At 52.0% G+C, this 18,947-nt stretch overlaps 1 protein-coding gene and 1 long non-coding RNA gene across 2 annotated transcripts, besides 3 other annotated features; one reads left to right on the plus strand and one right to left on the minus strand.

Moving 5' to 3' along the window:
- Nucleotides 58-617: a silencer, noted in NCBI's record as "silent region_10234". NCBI's record gives its function as "represses an Ori minimal core promoter by ATAC-STARR-seq in GM12878 lymphoblastoid cells {active_cell/tissue: GM12878}" and the evidence as "EXISTENCE:reporter gene assay evidence [ECO:0000049][PMID:35858748]".
- Nucleotides 449-1,799, plus strand: LOC124904642 (uncharacterized). Its single transcript, XR_007067144.1, has 2 exons — nucleotides 449-1,426; nucleotides 1,544-1,799. It is a non-coding gene; the product is annotated as an uncharacterized LOC124904642 (long non-coding RNA).
- On the minus strand, nucleotides 1,747-18,824 carry ASF1B (anti-silencing function 1B histone chaperone). Its single transcript, NM_018154.3, has 4 exons — nucleotides 18,583-18,824; nucleotides 8,357-8,472; nucleotides 3,767-3,943; nucleotides 1,747-2,900 (listed from the first exon to the last, which is right to left on the minus strand). The coding sequence occupies exons 1-4, from the start codon at nucleotides 18,689-18,691 to the stop codon at nucleotides 2,694-2,696; spliced, it is 609 nt and encodes a 202-aa protein (NP_060624.1). The 5' UTR covers nucleotides 18,692-18,824; the 3' UTR covers nucleotides 1,747-2,693.
- Nucleotides 10,800-10,909: an enhancer, noted in NCBI's record as "active region_14155". NCBI's record gives its function as "activates an Ori minimal core promoter by ATAC-STARR-seq in GM12878 lymphoblastoid cells {active_cell/tissue: GM12878}" and the evidence as "EXISTENCE:reporter gene assay evidence [ECO:0000049][PMID:35858748]".
- Nucleotides 18,590-18,639: a silencer, noted in NCBI's record as "silent region_10235". NCBI's record gives its function as "represses an Ori minimal core promoter by ATAC-STARR-seq in GM12878 lymphoblastoid cells {active_cell/tissue: GM12878}" and the evidence as "EXISTENCE:reporter gene assay evidence [ECO:0000049][PMID:35858748]".

Genomic DNA, 18,947 nt, shown 5'->3' on the forward strand with positions numbered 1-18,947 from the left:
GCCCCCGCAGCCCGCCGCTCATTGGCCTAGGCCGCCCTGACTGACGGCTCAGCGCCGCCTCCCATTGGCCCTCCCGCGACCTTCCCGCGCCACTATAGGCTCTCAGCCTCGGGACACGCACCGCGGACTCTCGGCCATTCACTCGCTCGCGAGGCCGCAGCTGGGCGGGCAGACGCGTCCGATTGGCCGAGACGCTGGACTGGGCCCGGGGTCCGCCCTGCGAGGCCGCCGATTGGCGGAGGTGCCGGGTCCGCCAAGCCCCCCAGCAGAACGCTCAGTGTCAATCCGGGGGTGAGAGGGCGGGGCGGAGACGCAGTCTGCGGGCCCGGGCCGGCGGGGCGGGGCGGCGGAGGCTGGCTGGCGGCCGCGCAGCGCTCCGAGGCTCAGGAGGCGGCCCCGGCGGGCGCCCGGCCGGCCCCGCGCGCGCCGCAGTCCCCCGCCCCCGCTCAGTGCGGCAGCGGCTGTCGGCCAGCCGGAGTTGGCGCCGCGGCCTGCCCGGCGCAGCCGCTGTCCACCTGCCAGCGGGGGAGGGGCGCGGCCGGCGCGCGGGTCAGAGGTCGCCCGGCCGCCGCCGGCGTCATTCATAAGGCCTGGCGCTGGGCGGCCGAGGCCAGGCCTGCTTGGGGGCCAGGCCGCGGGGCCTCCTGGGTTTTCCCAGCCGCACTCAGGAGGATGCCGGGCCCGGCGCAAGGGGTGGCTGGGAAGGGGCGCTCAGTGTCCACCCCTTTGCTGGGCCCTAGCCCTGGGCTCCTGCCAGTAGTAAGAGCTGGCACCCACTTAACGCTCCTTCGCACCACACTCCCATCGCGTAGGTGCTACCATCATCACTCCCATTGCACAGATGAGGAATCTGGGGTACAGCCAGGCAGATTCCCTGCTCCTGTTCCCCGTCTGTATTTCCTGTCTGGGCAATGCGAAGGGAACCTGCCCCTTCCTTCAGGATCCTCTTTCAGTACACACTTAGCAGAGGACAGTCGGGGTTTCCCAACTGCGACACTACTGACGGTGAGGCTGGATCATTTTCTGCTGGGGGGTGTCTTGTGCACCACTGGGTGTTGAGCAACATCCCCCGCCTCTACCCACTGGATGCCAGTAGCCCCTCCTCTATCTTCCTGCTGGCTGTGGCAACCGCTGTCTCCTGACATTGGTGAATGTGCTCTTGCGGGGCCGAACTGCTCCTGATTGAGAAGCACTTAAGAGAGGGTCAGGGGAGGGGAGAAGCCAGGTCACCCCGACTCGGAAGGGCTAGCTGGGCTTAACTACAAGCCGATCTGCTGCTTCGACTTGAATAGCCTCCACCTTCTCCAGCTGCTGTCTGCCCCCATGTTCCCAGATCAACCACAGTTCCAGGGAGGGAGAGTCAGAGCCTTTCTGTGAACTATGGGGAAATGGCTGACCACTCCGCCTCTGGATGGATAGATACATGGTAAGGTTTAGTAAAATTTAATAAAAGCATTGCTGTTTGTGTGTTGGGATCACGATGTTAATTTCCTGTGGGTCAAGGGCAAAGTCTGAAAAATCACTCATTATAATCTATCTGCAGGACAGCTGGTTTAAGTTTTGACAAAGAAAAACCCCTCCTGGAACCTCAGTCTGGAATACAACTGTAGAACCAATTAAGACTGGAGTAGGAAGCTGGAAAGAAGACGTGGGACAGCCAACCCACTGGACAGGGCAAGAGGCCACTTCTGGGGGAGAGTGGACAAAGTTGCTTCAGTCCACCAGAGACAAAAGCACAAACAATCATTCTAAATGAAGTGCTTTTAATTTTCAGACCAAACATTTTTAATATAAAAACATTTTGATAATATACAAACAGCAATCACAACAGCATCCACATGGCAGCAAGGGGACCAGGGCACAGAGAGGGGGAGCGGGCTGGGGAGGGACAGTTTTCAGGGTCCCAGTTGCTTCCCTGGCTTGAAATCACCCTGGTCCTAGCAGAGGACAGGTTAAGGCTGCCAGAGGCAGAGGGTCCCTGACCCTGGCCCGGAGACAGACTGCCCAGGCAGGCCCTCTGATACCATCTTCCAACCATGGCAGCCTCCAGGAAAAGCCAGATCCATTTAGGAGATAACAGGAAGGTGGCTGTGATTGACAGGAAAGGCAACATGGTTCCTCAGCATCCTGCTGATCACACCTCTGGGAGGGGCTGCTGGATTGAAGAGGACCTAAGAATCTTCCTGGGAGCAGGACAGAAATGGGATCTAAGTCTACCTACTAACTAACATTCCCGCCTGTGACACCAGAAAGCTGGAGTGGGTCTGCTCAGATGTACAGGAAGAGAAAGGAATGACAAAGCCTTTGGCTCAGCAGGACTGGAGCCTTGACAGGCACTGACCAAGAAAGCCTCTAGGTGGGCCAGGGAGGTCTGTGGGAAAGCTTTGGATCAATGGTACTCAAGGGTGCACAGTGGCACAGTGGCCTTAGTTAGAATTTATGAAGACGAAAAGAACACAAGTCAGAATTTAGAACTGAAGTACCTGCTTCTTATAGGCCTGTAGAGGAAAAGCGAGATCATCCTTCTGGCCAGGACTAGGGGAGACCCAAGGCCTGTTCTTTCCTAGGGGCTGAGTTTGACAGACCTGGATTGCAGCTGATGGCCCCCAAAGTCCTCTAGATGGGCCCTGCAGGACTCGCTGGGAGGCCTGGTTGCCCCTCCCGGCGTGCTGGGACACTCTGGGTTCCTGCAGTTAGATGCAGTCCATGGAGTTCTCAGGGAGGAGGCCAGGGATGCAGCCAGGGAGCCCCAAGCCCTTGATAGGAGTGCAGTTGAGTGGGAGGCCGCAGCCCAGGGAGGGGTCCTGGGTCTCTATGGCCTCCAGCCTGTCCATGTTGTTGTCCCAGTTGATATGGAAGCGGGTCACCCGGGGGTTCGAGGCCAAGATGTTCCGCTGGAGCTGGGGCAGGAAGAGGAACGTCAACCCTTGTAGGTACGCCCTCTCCTTGGTCCCATAGAGCCAGGACACCCCCAATCACCCATCTCAAGCCCAGCAAGAGCAACCTACATATGGAACTCCAGAAAACACCTGTGGCCAGGACCTTATTTATTTATTTATTTATTTATTTTTTGAGACGGAGTTTTGCTTTTGTTGCCCAGGCTGGAGTGCAATGCTGTGATCTCGTCTCACTGCAACCTCTGCCTTCCGGGTTCAAGCGATTCTCTTGCCTCAGCCTCCTGTGTAGCTGGGACTACAGGTGCAAGGCACCATACCTGGCTCATTTTCGTATTTTTAGTAGAGACGGGCTTTCACCATGTTGGCCAGGCTGGTCTCAAACTCCTGACCTCAGGTGATCCTACAGCCTCGGCCTCCCAAAGTGCTGGGATTACAACGCGTGAGCCACTGTGCCTGGCCCAGGACTTTTTTTTTTTAAGGGACAGTCTCACTCTGTTGGTCAGGCTGGAATGCAGTGGCACGATCTGAGCTCACTGCAGCCTCAAACTCCTGGGCTCAAGCGATCCTCCCACCTCAGCCTCCAGAGTAGAGCACACCACCCATGTCTGGCTCATTTTTTTTTTTTTTTTTTTTTGCGGGGGTTAGGGACAGGGTCTCACTATGTTGCCCAGGCTGGCCTAATCTTAATTCTCTAAGACATGCCTTTGAGAGACAAAGGTCTTTTTCTCCTCTTCTAACACAGTACTGTAAGAACTGAATATTACTTGAAAACCTTAAGAAGTGACCTTGACTCTCAATTTGAATGGCTGAACTCCCCCCAAGTATAAAGAACGGCCTTGTGGGAAGCAGGAAGTGGAAACAGGCCCCACCTGGGAGAAATCTGGCTTCATGGGCGGGTTCTCACGCAGCTCAGGGTTGAGGTACTCGTTGTTGACGTAGTAGCCCACTCGGATGAACTCCTGTCCATGGTAGGTGCAGGTGATGAGGACCACAGTCACACCCACGGCATCAGTCTCTGGGATGAGGGATGGGTTGGGGGCGTCGGCCTAGGGGAGACACATCCTAGGCCTTAGCAGTGCCACAGCCATGCCTCGATGTCATTAGTACAAAGATTCCCAAGCATCATGTATTTACTGAGCAAAAAGTATGCTCTCTGCCCTCAGTTTTCTTTTTTTTACTTCTGCCTCTCGGGTTCAAACAATTCTGCCTCAGCATCCCAGGCAGCTGGGACTACAGGCACACACCACCACACCCGGCTAACTTTTTTTTTTTTTTGGTATTTTTTTTTAATGGAGTTTTGCTCTGTTGCCCAGGCTGAAGTGCAATGGTGCGATCTCGGCTCACTGCAACCTCCGCCTCACGGGTTCAAGCGATTCTCCTGCCTCAGCCTCCCGAGTAGCTGGGATTACAGGTGCCCACCACCATGCCCGGCTAATTTTTGTATTTTTAGTAGAGATGGGGTTTCGCCATGTTGGCCAGGCTGGTCTCGAACTCCTGACCTCAGGTGATCCACCCGTCTTGGACTCCTAAAGTGTTGGGATTACAGGTGTGAGCCACTGCGCCCAGCCTTTTTTTTGTATTTTTAGTACAGACGGGATTTCACCATGTTGGCCAGGCTGGTCTTAAACTCCTGACTTCAGGTGATCTGCCCACCTCGGCCTCCCAAAGTGTTGGGATTACAGGTGTGAGCCATTGCGCCTGGACTTTTTTTTTTTTTACACAGGGTCTGGCCTCCCTCTGTTACCCAGGCTGGAGTGCAATGGCGCCATCATGGCTCACTGCATCCTTGAACTCCTGGGCTCAAGCAATCCTCCTGCTTCAGCCTCCCAAATAGCTGGGACAACGGTGTGTGCCAACATGTCTAGCCAATTATTTTTTGTAGAGACAGGGTTTCTCCATGTTGCCCAGGCTGGTCTCAAACTCCTGGGCTCAAGCGATCCTCTCACCTCAGCCTCCCAAAGGGCTGGGATTACAGGTGTGAGTCACTGTGCCCAGCCAGGAGTTGTCAACTGATGGAAACACAGAATCAATCCCACAAATGACTACAAAACGTTGACTGTGGCAGGGAGAGGTGCGTGGTACTCTGGAGGAGTGTGGTGAGCCGGGGGACAGTGGCATGAAGCTGAACAGGTGAGGCAGGTGGTATCAGGCCACCCGGGGGCCAGCTAAGGGATTGGGAAAGGGCAAGAGAGTAAGCAGGAGGTTAAGTGCCACATCACTCTTGTGATCTGAAAAGAAGCCTCTGGCAAAGTGTGGAGCCGTGACAGGAGACTGTAGTGGAGCAGAAGGCTTACACCAGTCATCCTGGAGAGGCAGTGGACTTGGCTTAGACCAGGCAGTAAAGAACAGATTCAGGGTGTACTACTGCAAACAAGACCAGCCACGTAATTGGTGCAAAATAAAACCAATGCAAAATGAAAACACCACGCCCCTCCAGAAAAGCTATTAGGTTTCAGACGGTGACAGCAGAGTATCGCACCAAGTGTGGGGTCCTGTGCAGCTGCCTGGGTTGCACACCCAGGAGGCCAGTCCTGACTGTTGAGTAGATAGGGCCTGTCAGTGGATTTAGTAGTGGTGGCTGAAGGGGTTAGATAGGATGTGGTAGCTTGGATTAGGGCGGTAACAGCAGTGATGGAGGTAAGGGAGTGTATCCGAGCAGAGGATCCTGAAAAATCACCTGGAGAACTCAGAATCTCCATTTGTTTTTTCTTTCTTCTTTTTTTTTTTTTTTTTTTTTGAGATGGAGTCTCACTGTCACCCAGGCTGGAGTGCAGTGGCGTGATCTCGGCTCACTGCAAGCTCCGCCTCCCAGGTTCACGCCATTCTCCTGCCTCAGCCTCCTGAGTAGCTGAGACTACAGGTGCCCGCCACCAGGCCTGGCTAATTTCTTGTATTTTTTAGTAGAGATGGGGCTTCACCATGTTAGCCAAGATGGTCTCAATCTCCTGACCTTGTGATCCGCCCACCTTGGCCTTCCAAAGTGCTGGGATTACAGGCGTGAGCCACTGCACCGGCCTTCTTTTTTTAAAGAGATAGCTTTTCCCTCTGTCATCCAGACTGGAGTGCAGTGGTGCAATCACAGATCACTGTAAACTCCTGGAACTCCTGGGCTCAAGCGAGCCTATTTTTTTTTTTTTTTTTTTTTAGAGACAGGGTCTCACTCTGTTGCCCAGGCTCGAGTGCAGTGGCGCAATCTCAGCTCACTGTAACTTCCGCCCCCTGGATTCAAATAATTCTCGTGCCTCAGCCTCCCGAGTAGCTAGGATAACAAATGTGCACCACCACATCCAGCTAATTTTTGTATTTTTTAGTAGAGACAGGGTTTCACCATGTTGGCCAGGCTAGTCTTTAACTCCTGACCCCAAGTGATCTGCCTGCCCCAGCCTCCCAAAGTGTTGAGATTACAGGTGTGAGCCATGGCACCTGGCCTCAAGTGAGTCTTCTGCTTCAGCCTCCCTAGTAGCTGGCACTACAGGCCTGCATCACTATGCCTGGTTAATGTTTTTTTTGTAGAGACAGGTCTCGCTGTCACCCAGAATGCAGTGCAGAGGTGCAATCATAGCTCGCTGTAGCCTCAAACTCTCAGGCTCAAGCAAGCCTCCTGCTTCAGCCTCCCAAGTAGCTGGGACGACAGGTGCAAGCCACCACACCCGGCTAATTTTTCTATTTTTTGTAGAGATGGGGGTCTCGCTATGTGGCCCAGGCTAGTCTGGAACTCCTGGCCTTAAGCAGTCCTCCCGCCTCTGCCTCCCAAAGTGCTGGAAGCCACCACACCCGGCCAGAATCTACATTTGACAACCCAGGTGGGGTGCTGCATGAGAGCCATTTAGGAGTTACAGTCCATCCTCATTATTCATGGGTTCCATATGTGCAAGTTCACCTACCTGCTAAGTTTATTTGTAACCCCAAGATGAACACCTGCTTGCTTTCACAGTCACTTGCAGACATGCACAGAGCAGGGAAAAACTGGAGTTACCTACCATGCCTGTTCCCACCTAGAGTTACCTACCACGCCTGTTCCCACCTGAGGTCAAACAAGGCAACACTCTGTCTTCTGGTCTCAGCTCTCACTGTGAATGAGCGTCCTTTCCTCAGCCTACTTAGTGCTTTTTTCCATGTTTTGTGCTTTTTGTTGGTGAGTTTGCTGTCTATGATGGCACCCAACGGTAGTGCTGAAGTGCAGTGTAGGATACAAGAAAGGCTTTATGGAAAATATGCGTATTAGAGAAGTTTCATTCAGGAGAGTTATAGTGCTGTTGGCTGTGAATTCAACATAAATGAACCACTGTATATATTAAATAAGGTATCTTTCCTTTTTTTCTGAGACAGAGTATCGCTGTATCACCCAGGCTAGAGTGCACTGGTGCGATCTCAGCTCACTGCAATCTCCATCTCCCAGGTTCAAGCGATTCTCCCGCCGCAGCCTCCCGAGTAGCTGGGATTACAGGCATGCGCCACCACACCTGGCTGATTTTTGTATTTTTAGTAGAGACGGGGTTTCATCACATTGGCCAGGCTGGTCTTGAACTCCTGACCTCAGGCGATCCACCCACCTCAGCCTCCCAAAGTGCTGGGATTACAGGTTTGAGCCATCATAGCCGTCCTGGTGTCTTTTCAACATAAACACACATACAAGTTTACGTATTAACCAGCTGACGAAAATGTGACTTCCAAGAATCTAACCCTGTATTTCCCCTGGGGCAATGGTTCAGTATTCACTAATTCAGTGTTCGCGGCAACTTTATAGAACGTAACTCTTGTAAATAATGGGAATTGCCTGTAAATCAGTGGCAGCTTTGACACAGAGGTGGGGGAAGGGAGGGCCTGACGGCCTCTGAGAGGTCAGATAGTTCCTGACAGTAGAACTAGGATTTGAACCTGAACTTTTAAATTGTTTTAATTGATTGATTGAGACTGGGTCTTACTGTTGCCCAGGCTGGAGTGCAGTGGTGTGGTCTTGGCTCATTGTAGCTTCCATCTCCCAGGCTCAAGTGATCCTCCCATTTCAGCCTCCCAAGTATCTGAGACTACAGGCGCACACCACCATGCTCTGCTGATTTTTACATTTTTTGTAGAGATGCGGTCTCACTATATTGCCCCAGCTGGTCTCAAACTCCTGGCCTCAAGCAATCCTCCCACCTCGGCCTCCCAAAGTGCTGGGATTACAGGTGTGAGCAACTGTGCCCGGCCTCTATGTTTTTAATACTTGTTTTTTTCTTTTTTAGAGACAGGGTCTCACTGTGTTGCCTAGGCTGGAGTGCAGTGGCTCACTGCAGCCTCAGACTCCCGGGCTCAAGCAATCCTCTCACCTCAGTCCCTGGAGTAGCTGGGTCTATAGGCGTGAGCCCGTGCCCAGCTGAACTTGAACTTTTGATTCCTGAAGCACTCTGTGGGATTTCAGGTAAAAGAGGATGTTTCTAGGAATCAAGGGCTAAGGCCTAAGGCCTCATCTTTCTTACCTGAAAGACAAACATGTGTCTCCCTGCTGGCACAGGGCCCACCAGCACCGAGTCTAGGATCTGATCAAATTCCTCACTCTCAGCCGAGCCAACATAAATGATCTTCCACTCCAGGTCTGCAAAGATATAGGAGGGTTAACTAATTGAAATAGCTCAACAGCAAGAAGGCAGGGATAGGCTCTTGTATTTTTTTTTTTTTTTGAGATGGAGTCTCGTTCTGTCACACAGGTTAGAATACAGTGATGCGATCTCAGCTCACTGCAACTTCCGCCTCCCAGGTTCCAGTGATTCTCATACCTCAGCCTCCCGAGTGGCTGGGATTATAGGTGCCCGCTGCCACGCCTAGCTAATTTTTTTTTTCTTTTTTGAGATGGAGTTTCACTCTTGTCACCCAGGTTGGAGTACAATGGTGTGATCTTGGCTCACTGCAATCTCTGCCTCCCAGGTTCAAGCGATTCTCCTGTCTCAGCCTACTGAGTAGCTGGAATTACAGGCACCTGCCATCATGGCTGGCTAATTTTTTTATTTTTAGTAGAGACAGGGTTTCACCATGTTGATCAGGCTGGTTTAGAACTCCTGACCTCAGGTGATCCACCCGCCTTGGCCTCCCAAAGTGCTGGGATGACAGGTGTGAGCCACTGTACCTGGCCTGTTTTTGTATTTTTAGTAGAGATGGGGTTTCACCATGTTGGCCAAGCTGGTATCCAACTCCTGACTTCAAGTGATCTGCCCGCCTCAGCCTTCCAAACTGGTGGGATTACAGGTGTGAGCCACTGCGCCCGGCCACATCTTCTATTTTATTTTTATTTACTTATTTTTTGAGACAGTCTCCCTCTGTTGCCTAGGCTGGTGTGCAGCGGGATGTTCATGGCTCACTGTAGCCTCAACCTCCTGGGCTCAAGCGATCCTCCTGCCTCGGACTCCCACCATGTTGGGATCACAGGTGTGGGCTGCTGTGCCCAGCCTTGTGGTAATTTTAGACAGATCCTTAATATGTTAAAAGACTATTATTCCATCTGTCAGACACTTAGTGCCAGGCACTGCAGTCTTGAATGCTGAGGTGGGCACAAAGCTCTACCTCCATTAGGGAATTCTGTCTTGTAAGCCTAGCTATGACAGGTGACCTTGACTATACCTCTGGGGAAACCTGGGCCTCTCAAGGCCTGAGCGTGAACTGTATGGCAGAGGCTGAATTAAGAGCCACGTGACACAGACGTGCTGAGAAGGGAACGGCAGGGAGTTGGGTCATTTCAGGGCCCTGCCCACTGGGTGCTGGGATAGGAAGCAGCATCCTCTTTCACACACAGGGACCGGTGCCACTCAACGAAGTGGATCCCTCGACAACTGGGGCAGGGTGGCAGATTCCAATCCGGCAGGAGAGCCAGCCTGCAGGAGGGGGAAGGTGAGGTTGCTCAGGGAGCCAGCCACCCTGGTCTTCCAGATCTGGCACCAAGTCATGCCTACTTAGAGACATTTGGGCAACTCAGTCAACAAATGTGGCATCCCGGGGTGATCCTCCAAACACTTTTTTTTTTTGACAGTTTCACTCTTGTTGTCCAGGCTAGAGTGCAATGGTGAGATCTCGGCTCACTGCAACCTCTGCCTCCCGGGTTCAAGTGATTCTCCTGCCTCAGCCTCCTGAGTAGCTGGGATTATAGGCGCCCGCCACCACAGCCGGCTAATGTTTTGTATTTTTAGTAGAGATGGGGTTTCACCATGTTGGCCAGGTTGGTCTCGAACTCCTGACCTCAGGTCATCCATCCGCCTCCGCCTCCCAAAGTGCTGGGATTACAGGTGTGAGCCACCGTGCCCAGCCTCAAACCCTAACTCTTGCACCCCATCCAGCAGGAGGGCCCCCTCCCCTGAATATGCTCCATTGAGATGAAAGGAAAGTGCTTATGGAACCTCTGGCTGTCAATCACAGGAAATTCCGGTCAACATGGCCTCTTGCAGGAGGTCCAAGTGTATCAGGGGCAAGGTCATGCTGGTACAGGGAGGCTTGGCAAGAGGCTTGAAACTTATTTTTGGCTCTTTAGAAATTACACAACCCTTCAGCTCTAGCAGCTGGGGGAAGTTTCACAAGCTGTGATTTTCACAGGAAGCAAACTCTCTCAGAAGCTGCCCTGTTCCTTGGTCCAGTGTCCCACAAGAGCATCCAACTTTGGAAGCATGCTGCTGCCAGGTCATGACTACAGAGGCTTGTCACCTGAGCCCCATGCCCTTCTTTGATGCACTGGCTGCCTGTCCCTTTGTGGTTTCACTCAGGAACCCTATAGCAGGTCTGTAGGATACGGGTGACCATTGAACTCACAGGTGTTTGGTCGAACTAGCCTCTTACTATTTGCAGGGAGGAAGTTGACTTTTTTCACTGGAGATGGGGTCTCGGTCCGTCACCCAGGCTGCAGTGCAGTGGCATAATCATAGCTCACTACAGCCACAAATTCCTGCGCTCAAGTGATTCTCTTGCCTTAGCCTCCCAAGTAGCTGGGACCACAGGCTTGTGCCACACGCCCAGGGAATTTTTAAATTGTTTTTAGAGATGAGGTCTTGCTTGGTTGCCCAGCCTGGTCTCAAGCAATCCTCCCGCCTTGGCCTCCCAAAGTGCTGGAATTTGTCTGAGCCATCATGTCCAGCCTGTTGATTTATTTTTGTTACAAGTAGTGACACAACTGGAATCAAGTTTTGGGGGAAGACAGAAAAGCCAGCCAGCCCTGCTCTCTCCTTTCTAAAGCAGTTGTATCATTTTGGTGTATATCCTTGAGCCCTTTCCTCTCATAGCCGGTAGAATCCTGTACGGGTGCATTTAATTCATGTCCTGGGAAGGTAGACAAAAAAGACTAAAGTGTACCCACGAGCACCTGATGTTGTCCAGCTGAGGTCAATACTAATCGGCAAAACCTAAACAAAGAGCATGTGGAAACTCACCGAAATAAATGGGCCCCTGCAACATAGGCAGACTCGACTCTATTAAAAATCAACAAAATTAATTGGGTGTGGTGGCGCGTGCCGGTGGTCCCAGCTATGCGGGAGGCTAAGGTTGGAGGATCGCTTGAGCCTAGGAGTTCAGGGCTGCAGTGAGCCATGATCGAGCCACTGCATTCCAGCCTGGACGACAGAGACCCTATCTCAAAGGAAAAAAAAGAAAAAGAAAAAATGTACTGTGTTGACTGTCAGGCACAGGGGCTGAAATGGCTCTTTCAACCAGGGCTGGAAAGAAACTGGAGAATTAACTAACGGCTGTAGAGAAATACTGACTCAAGAGTTACAGAAGCTGGTTGGGCACGGCAGCTCACACCTGTAATCCTAGCACTTTGGGAGGCCGAGGCAGGCAGATTGCCTGAGCTCACGAGTTCGAGACCAACCTGGGCAACATGGTGAAACCCCATCTCTACTAAAAATATAAAAATTTAGCTGGGCATGATGGTGTGCACCTGTAATTCCAGCTACTCAGGAGTCTGAGGCATAAGAACTGCTTGAACCTGGGAGGCAGCAGAGATTGCAGTGAGCCGAGATTTTGCCACTGCACTCCAGCCTGGGCAACAGAGCCAGCCTCCGTCAAAAAAAAAAAAAAAAAAAAAAAAAAAAAAAAGAAGAAAGAAGGAAAGAAAGGAAGAAAAAAAGAGTTATAGGTATAGGGCCAGGTGAGGTGGATCATTGGATCATGGCTGTAATCCTAGCACTTTGGGAGGCTGAGGCGGGTGGATTGCTTGAGCTCAGAAGTTCGAGATCAGCCTGGGCAACATGGTGATACAAAAAATACAAAAAATTAGCCAGGCGTGGTGGCATGCCCCTGTAGTCTCAGCTACTCGGGAGGCTGAGGTTGCAGTGAACTGAGATCGTGCCTCTGCACTCCAGCCTGGGTGACAGAGTGAGACTCCATCTCTACTAAAAATATAAAAAATTAGCTGGGCGTGGTGGTGTGCACCTGTAATTCTAATTTATTTTATTTTATTTTGACATGGAGTCTCACTCTGTTGCCCAGACTAGAGTGCAGTGGCACGATCTCGGCTCACTGCAAGCTCCGCCTCCCGGGTTCATGCCATTCTTGTGCCTCAGCCTCCTAATCAGCTGGGACTACAGGCACCCCCCACCACGCCCGGCTAATTTTTTTTTCTATTTTTAGTAGAGACGGGGTTTCACTGTGTTAGCCAAGATGGTCTCGATCTCCTGACCTTGTGATCCGCCTGCCTTGGCCTCCCAAAGTGCTGGGATTACAGGCATGAGCCACTATGCCCAGTCGAGAATCATCTTAAATTTGCTGAAGTGCCCAGGCATGGTGATGTGCACCTGTGGTTCCAGCTACTTAGGAAGCTGAGGTGGGAGGACTGCTTAAGCCCAGGAGTTCAAGTCCAGTCTGGGCAACATAGTGACACCCTATCTCTTTAAAAAAAAAAAAAAAAATCTGGCTGCAGTGTTATAAGTAGAGACATACGTGTATGATTTCATCTCTAAATATAATCTTTCTTTAGAATTATACATGGGACACAAATCACCAATACAGCAGGAACTCATAGCTATGAGTACAGGACACAGCTGTACACATGACGTGTGTACCTAACCTTCTGAGCAATGTCAAGGCAACTCAACTGTGTCCCATGTTATCTCTCTGCGCTAACTTCACAAGCTAGTCCCTGTGCAAGACATACCTCCACTGTGTGTTTGTGTGTATATATATATATATATATATATAAATGATAAGACTAAAGACATGTACACAATTAGTATAGCTGAACTAGCTAAAAAGTCTGCTTCCTGCTTTTTTGTTGTTGTTTTTTTGAGACAGTCTTGCTCTGTCGCCCAGGCTGGAGTGCAATGGCGCAATCTGGGCTCACTGCAATTTCCATCTCCCGGGTTCAAGCGCTTCTCCTGCCTCAGCCTCCCAAATAGCTGGGACTACAGGCACCTGCCACCAAGCCTGGCTAACTTTTGTATTTTTAGTAGAGACAGGGTTTCACCACATTGGCCAGGCTGGTCTCAAACTCCTGACCTCAGATGATCCACCTGCCTTGGTCTCCCAAAATGCTGGGATTACAGGGGTAAGCCACTGTGCCTGGCCATTTTTTTTTTCTTTTTTTTTTTTTGAAACAGAGTCTCGCTCTGTCACCCAGGTTGGAGTGCAGTGGCACAATCTCAGCTCACTGCAACCTCTGCCTCCCGGGTTCTAGCGATTCTTCTGCCTCAGCCTCCTGAGTAGCTGGGATTATAGCTGCGTGCCACCATGCCTGGCTAATTTTTGTATTTAGTAGAGCCGGGGTTTCACCACGTCGGTTAGGCTGGTCTCGAACTCCTGACCTTGTGATCCATCCGCCTCGGCCTCCCAAAGTGCTGGGATTACAGGTGTGAGCCACCACACCTGGCTTTTTCTTTTTTTTTTTTTTTGAGATGGAGTCTTGCTTTGTTGCCCAGGTTGGGGTGCAGTGGTGCAATCTCGGCTCGCTGCAAGCTCTGCCTCCTGGGTTCACGCCATTCTCCTGCCTCAGCCTCCCGAGTAGCTGGGACTACAGGCGCCCGCCACCACACCCGGCTAATTTTTTGTATTTTTAGTAGAGACGGGGTTTCACCATGTTGGCCAGGCTGGTCTCGAACTTCTGACCTCAGGTAATCTGCCCGCCTTGGTCTCCCAAAGTGCTGGGATTACAGGCGTGAGCCACCATGCCAGGCCTCCTTTGTTTGTTTGCTTTTTGCCTTTGTTCATAATCAAAGATGAGCTCTGCTGCCATAACAACTTCGTTATTTCTGGGTCAGAACATCTGGCTTCTATGACTTATTCAACCAGTGTCTGTTGAATTTCTCAGCTAAATGTGGAAGAATCTATTTCCAGATGTGGAAGATAAAAGTGCAAAGGGGGCTTGGGGCCCCTGAGAAATAGGGGTCACCCAACTGGGGCTTAGGGGTTAGGGTGGTTTTTTTTTTTTTTTTTTTTGAGATGGGGGTCTTGCTCTCTCACCCAGGTTGGAGTGCAGTGGTGCAATCATGGCTCACTGCAGCCCTGACCTCCTGGGCTCATGCAATCCTCCCACTTCAGCCTCCTGAGTAGCTGGGACCACAGACACGTGCCACCAAGTCCCGTTAATTTTTTGATGTTTCTGTAGAGACAAGGTTTTGCTATGTTACCCAGGCTGGCCCAAATTCCTGGGCTCAAGAGATCCTCCTTCCTTAGCCTCCCAAAGTGCTGGAATTACAGGCATGAGCCACCTCACACAGCTGGGTTGGGGGTTTTGTCAGATTTTCAGTTGACGCTGCTGAGAGTGAGGCAGATTCTCCCTTTTTCATGGAGAGGAGTCCAGAAGGAGGCAGAAAGCAAGCTGGCAGATCAGTCACAGAGAGCCCTAGGACTGGAAGAGCCAGGATTTCTCACTTGAGTTACTCAAAGGAAAAGCTTTATCATCCAGGTACAATTAACAATAGCATTCTCTGGCCAGGCGCTTAGGATTCAAAGTGTAATCCCAGCACTTTGGGAGGCTGAAGTGGGCATATCACTTGCGATCAGGTTTGAGACCAGCCTGGCCAACATGGTGAAACCTCGTCTCTACTAAAGACACAAAAATTAGCCGGGCATGGTGGCTCAAGCTTGTAATCCCAACTACTTGGGATACTGAGGCCGGAGAATCGCTTGAACTCGAGAGGTGGAGATTGCAGTGAGCTGAGATTGCACCACTGCACTGTAGCCTGGGTGACATAGTGAGATTCCATTTCTAATAATAATCATCATCATCATCATAATCATACGACGGGCACGGTGGCTCACGCCTGTAATCCCAGGCCGAGGCGGGCGGATCACAAGGTCAGGAAATCGAGACCATCCTGGGTAACACAGTGAAACCCCGTCTCTACTAAAAATCCAAAAAGTTAGCTGGGCATGGTTTCGGGCGCCTGTAGTCCCAGCTACTTGGGAGATTGAGGCAGGAGAATGGCGTGAACCCGGGAGGCGGAGCTTGCAATGAGCCATGATCACGCCACTGCACTCCAGCCTGGGTGACACAGCGAGACTCCATCTCAAAAATAAATAAATAAATAAATAAATAAATAAATAATAATAATAGCACTTCCCTTCACTGCATTTTGAGTGTCCTGATTAGGCAATAAATTCTGTGGTCATTCCTATCTATGCTCCACCCCTGAAACAGGGAATCCTTCCTTTCTTTCCCTGGATTGGAGCAAAGATAAAGAATTTAGATTCAAAACTTCAGTGCCAATACTTCTACAAACTGGCTGTGTGACTCTGGTGAAGTCACTCCATTTCTATTAAAAAATGATCAGCAGAGGCTGGACGCAGTGGCTCACGCCTGTAATCCCAGCACTTTGGGAGGCTGAGGCGGGCGGATCACCTGAGGTCAGGAGTTCAAGACCAGCCTGGCCAAGATGGTGAAACCCCGTCTCTACTAAAAATACAAAAATTAGCCAGGCGTCATAGCAGGCACCTGTAATCCCAGCTGCTCGGGAGGCTGAGGCAGGAGAATCGCTTGAATCTGGGAGGTGGAGGTTGCAGTGAGCCAAGATCGCGCCATTGCACTCCAGCCTGGGGGACAAGAGCAAGACTTCATCTCCAAAAAAACAAAAAAAGGACCAGCAGGTTGAATTTAGCCCTTCCGGCTCTAATTCTATAAATAAGTTAGTAAAGTCACAGGGCAGGGGCTTCCTAGGAGTAGAAGTACCAGATAATGACCGCACAACCATTTTTTTTTTTTTTTTTTTTTTTTGAGACGGAGTCTCGCTCTGTCGCCCAGGCTGGAGTGCAGTGGCGCGATCTCGGCTCACTGCAAGCTCCGCCTCCCGGGTTCACGCCATTCTCCTGCCTCAGCCTCCCGCGTAGCTGGGACTACAGGCGCCCGCCACCACGCCCGGCTAATTTTTTGTGTTTTTTAGTAGAGACGGGGTTTCACCGTGTTAGCCAGGATGGTCTCGATCTCCTGACCTCGTGATCCGCCCGCCTCGGCCTCCCAAAGTGCTGGGATTACAGGCGTGAGCCACCGCGCTCGGCCACAACCATTTTTAAATGCAAGGAACACAAACAGGCTGATTGAAACCTGATCTCCTGCCGTCGGGGAGCTGGGAATCCCTCAACCTATTACTTCCTTCCATCTCCTCCTGGCTTTTAAATTAAATCTTATTCCACAGCGTCATTCTACACTTTATTTATTTATTTACCCGCTGCCTTGTTCCAGAAAGGATTTAACTCGGCATATTCTATAGTTAGCCACAAGTAGACTCCTTAATTTAAAAAGGAGCGAGAGAGACCGGGGAGAGACAGACCCACTGGCCTACCCAAAGCACATCCACATCTCACTCTATCAGCTCCAAGCTAGTCCAGGCGACCAGCTTTGAGGGCAAAACACCTACCTGCCCCCGAGAGGCACTAGTTAGCATATCCTGGCTTCACAGGCCCCCAGATCACCACCTCCTCGGCTGCTGCCTTTTCTCTTTCAACCACCAAGTAGAAAAATGGCCTAATGGAGTACTTCTTCCTGAAAGCAGGACTTGCCTGTTAGTGGTGCCAAGGCTCCCTAGGTGACCTTAGATTTTGGATTTGTACAGGCCTTGACTTGAAAGGTCTTTTGCGTTTTGTGGCTCCTGTCTTCTCATCTGTGAGATGAGAGCCATGCCCACCTTTAAGTCACACAGATTAATAAGTACATCTACGGAAGCACCTTGGAAAAGATGTACAGGAGGCTGTGACCTCCAAGCTCCAGCCGACTGTTTGAAGCTGGAGCCCGTCACAGCTCAGCCCAATCCACCCACCCCCCAGACTAGGTCAGACCATCAAAAGCAACGGGAGCTTGGCACTGATTATCCAGCTATATTAAAAAAAAAAAAGAAGAAGACGGGGCACGGTGGCTCACGCCTGTAATCCCAGCACTTTGGGAGGCCAAGGCGGGTGGATCACTTGAGGTCAGGAGTTCGAGACCAACCTGGCTAACATGGTGAAACGCTGCCTCCACTAAAAATACTAAAATTAGCTGGGCGTGGTGACAGGCGCCTGTAGTCCCAGCTACTCGGGAGGCTGAGGCAGAAGAATCGCTTGAACTCGGGAGGTGGAGGTTGCAGTGAGCCGAGATCGTGCCATTGCACTCCAGCCTGGGCAACAGAGTGAGACTGTCTCAAAAAAAAAAAAAAAAAAAAGAAGAGGAAGAAGAAGAAAGAAAAAGTGACAGAAAAATTGCTGCAGTAACTCAGCTGGAAACGGGTGGGCAAACCTGGAGAACTAGCTAATGCCTGCCTGGCTATGCCACCCCTCGGATCTCAGTGTGTTTATCCAAGCCCACAGAGAAAGGTGGGGAAGGGGAGCTGGGGAGACAAAGTTCCCCTCAAAGACGGTAGCATCCTTTCCCAGGGAGAGCTCAAGCATAGGGGGGTTGGGCCCCAACGAAGGAGAGAAACCAGGTTCCAGGGTATGTGCATTGGGGCAGAAAAGCGGCAGCAACTGGTGGGCGTGGGGTTATTGAAATATTGGCAGGTTGGGGAGGGGACTGGTGGGACACAAATGGGAAGATGGGGTTGAGAGAGGTCCTGAAAAGGGGTTGAGGGGTTTTCACAGGAAAAAAAGGTTACTGGAGGGGAGGGTCTTCACGGCAAGGAGAGAGGAGCTTGGGTGAGAGGTCTCCATAGGGAAAATAGGAGATGGCTGGGATTTCCCCCGGGGAAAATGGGAAGGGGCTGGATATTGGGGGTCTCCAGAGGGAAAATGGGAGGTGTGAGTATCTCACTACAGGAAAGAGGGAATAAGTGGGCAAAAATGGGTGGGTGGTTGAAGCGGGGGTCTTGCCACAGGGAAACCACGGTGGCTGAAGATCTCCGTGGGTTAAGAAATGGAGGCCGAGAAGGTCTCCCCATGAAAACGGGTACCTAGGAAGAGCTCCAGAGAAAAAAGATGGATGAGGTTCCCCACGCGGGAAATGGGGCTTGGAGGGGGTTAATCTCTATGGGGAGGTCGGGGCGGGCAGTGGGGGAAGAGGCCACTGGGAGGTCCGAGTTAGCTGGCGGGGGGTCTCCACCCGGGAGGTCAAGGCGGGCAGTGGGGGAGGAGGTCACGGGGAGGTCCGTGTTGGCTGGTGGCGGGGGGTCTCCACCGGGAGATCCGGTTGACTGGCGGGCTGGGGGAGATCGGGGTTGGCGGAAGGGGGACGAGGGGTTTCATGGGGGAGATCAAGTTGGCCATGGGAGCGGTTCTCTGAGGGGAGGCCGGGGTCGGCCCGGGGGTGGGGGTCCCCGCACAGGCCCAGCCTCACCGTCCGCCAGGGCTTCACTGCACTCGAAGCTGATCTCGAACCGGAAGGGGCTGTGGAAAGGGCTCGGGTTCTCCAGGACCGCCACGTTCAGCACCGACACCTTGGCCATCGCCTCGCCTCGCCGCGCCGCAGCAGGGGCAGGGGCTGTGGCTGTGGCGGAGGCCGCGCCTGGGTCCGGTGGGGTCAGTGGGGTAGGGCTGACCAGGTCCACTCCCGCCTCTTCTCTCCGAGAACTGAAGTGCGCACCTAGTCCGCGCGCCGCCTTCAAATAGCCGGCCTCCGCCCTCTGGCCAATCACCGCCAACGCTCCCTGGCGGCGCGCGCACCCCCTCAGCCAGTCCTGGAGCGCCGATCGGCGCGCGCCC

The sequence above is a fragment of the Homo sapiens genome, chromosome 19 (assembly GCF_000001405.40).
Source record: "Homo sapiens chromosome 19, GRCh38.p14 Primary Assembly".
NCBI classification, from domain to species: domain Eukaryota; kingdom Metazoa; phylum Chordata; class Mammalia; order Primates; family Hominidae; genus Homo; species Homo sapiens.

What these genes read in the sequence shown, in the direction of transcription:
- ASF1B (NM_018154.3), bottom strand. Translation starts at nt 18,691, where the DNA reads ATGGCCAAGGTGTCGGTGCTGAACGTGGCGGTCCTGGAGAACCCGAGC. An exon ending in CAGTGAAGCCCTGGCGGACG is followed by an intron (nt 8,473 to 18,582) that starts GTGAGGCTGGGC and finishes ATATCTTTGCAG; the next exon opens with ACCTGGAGTGGAAGATCATT. An exon ending in TGAAGCCAGATTTCTCCCAG is followed by an intron (nt 2,901 to 3,766) that starts GTGGGGCCTGTT and finishes TTCCTGCCCCAG; the next exon opens with CTCCAGCGGAACATCTTGGC.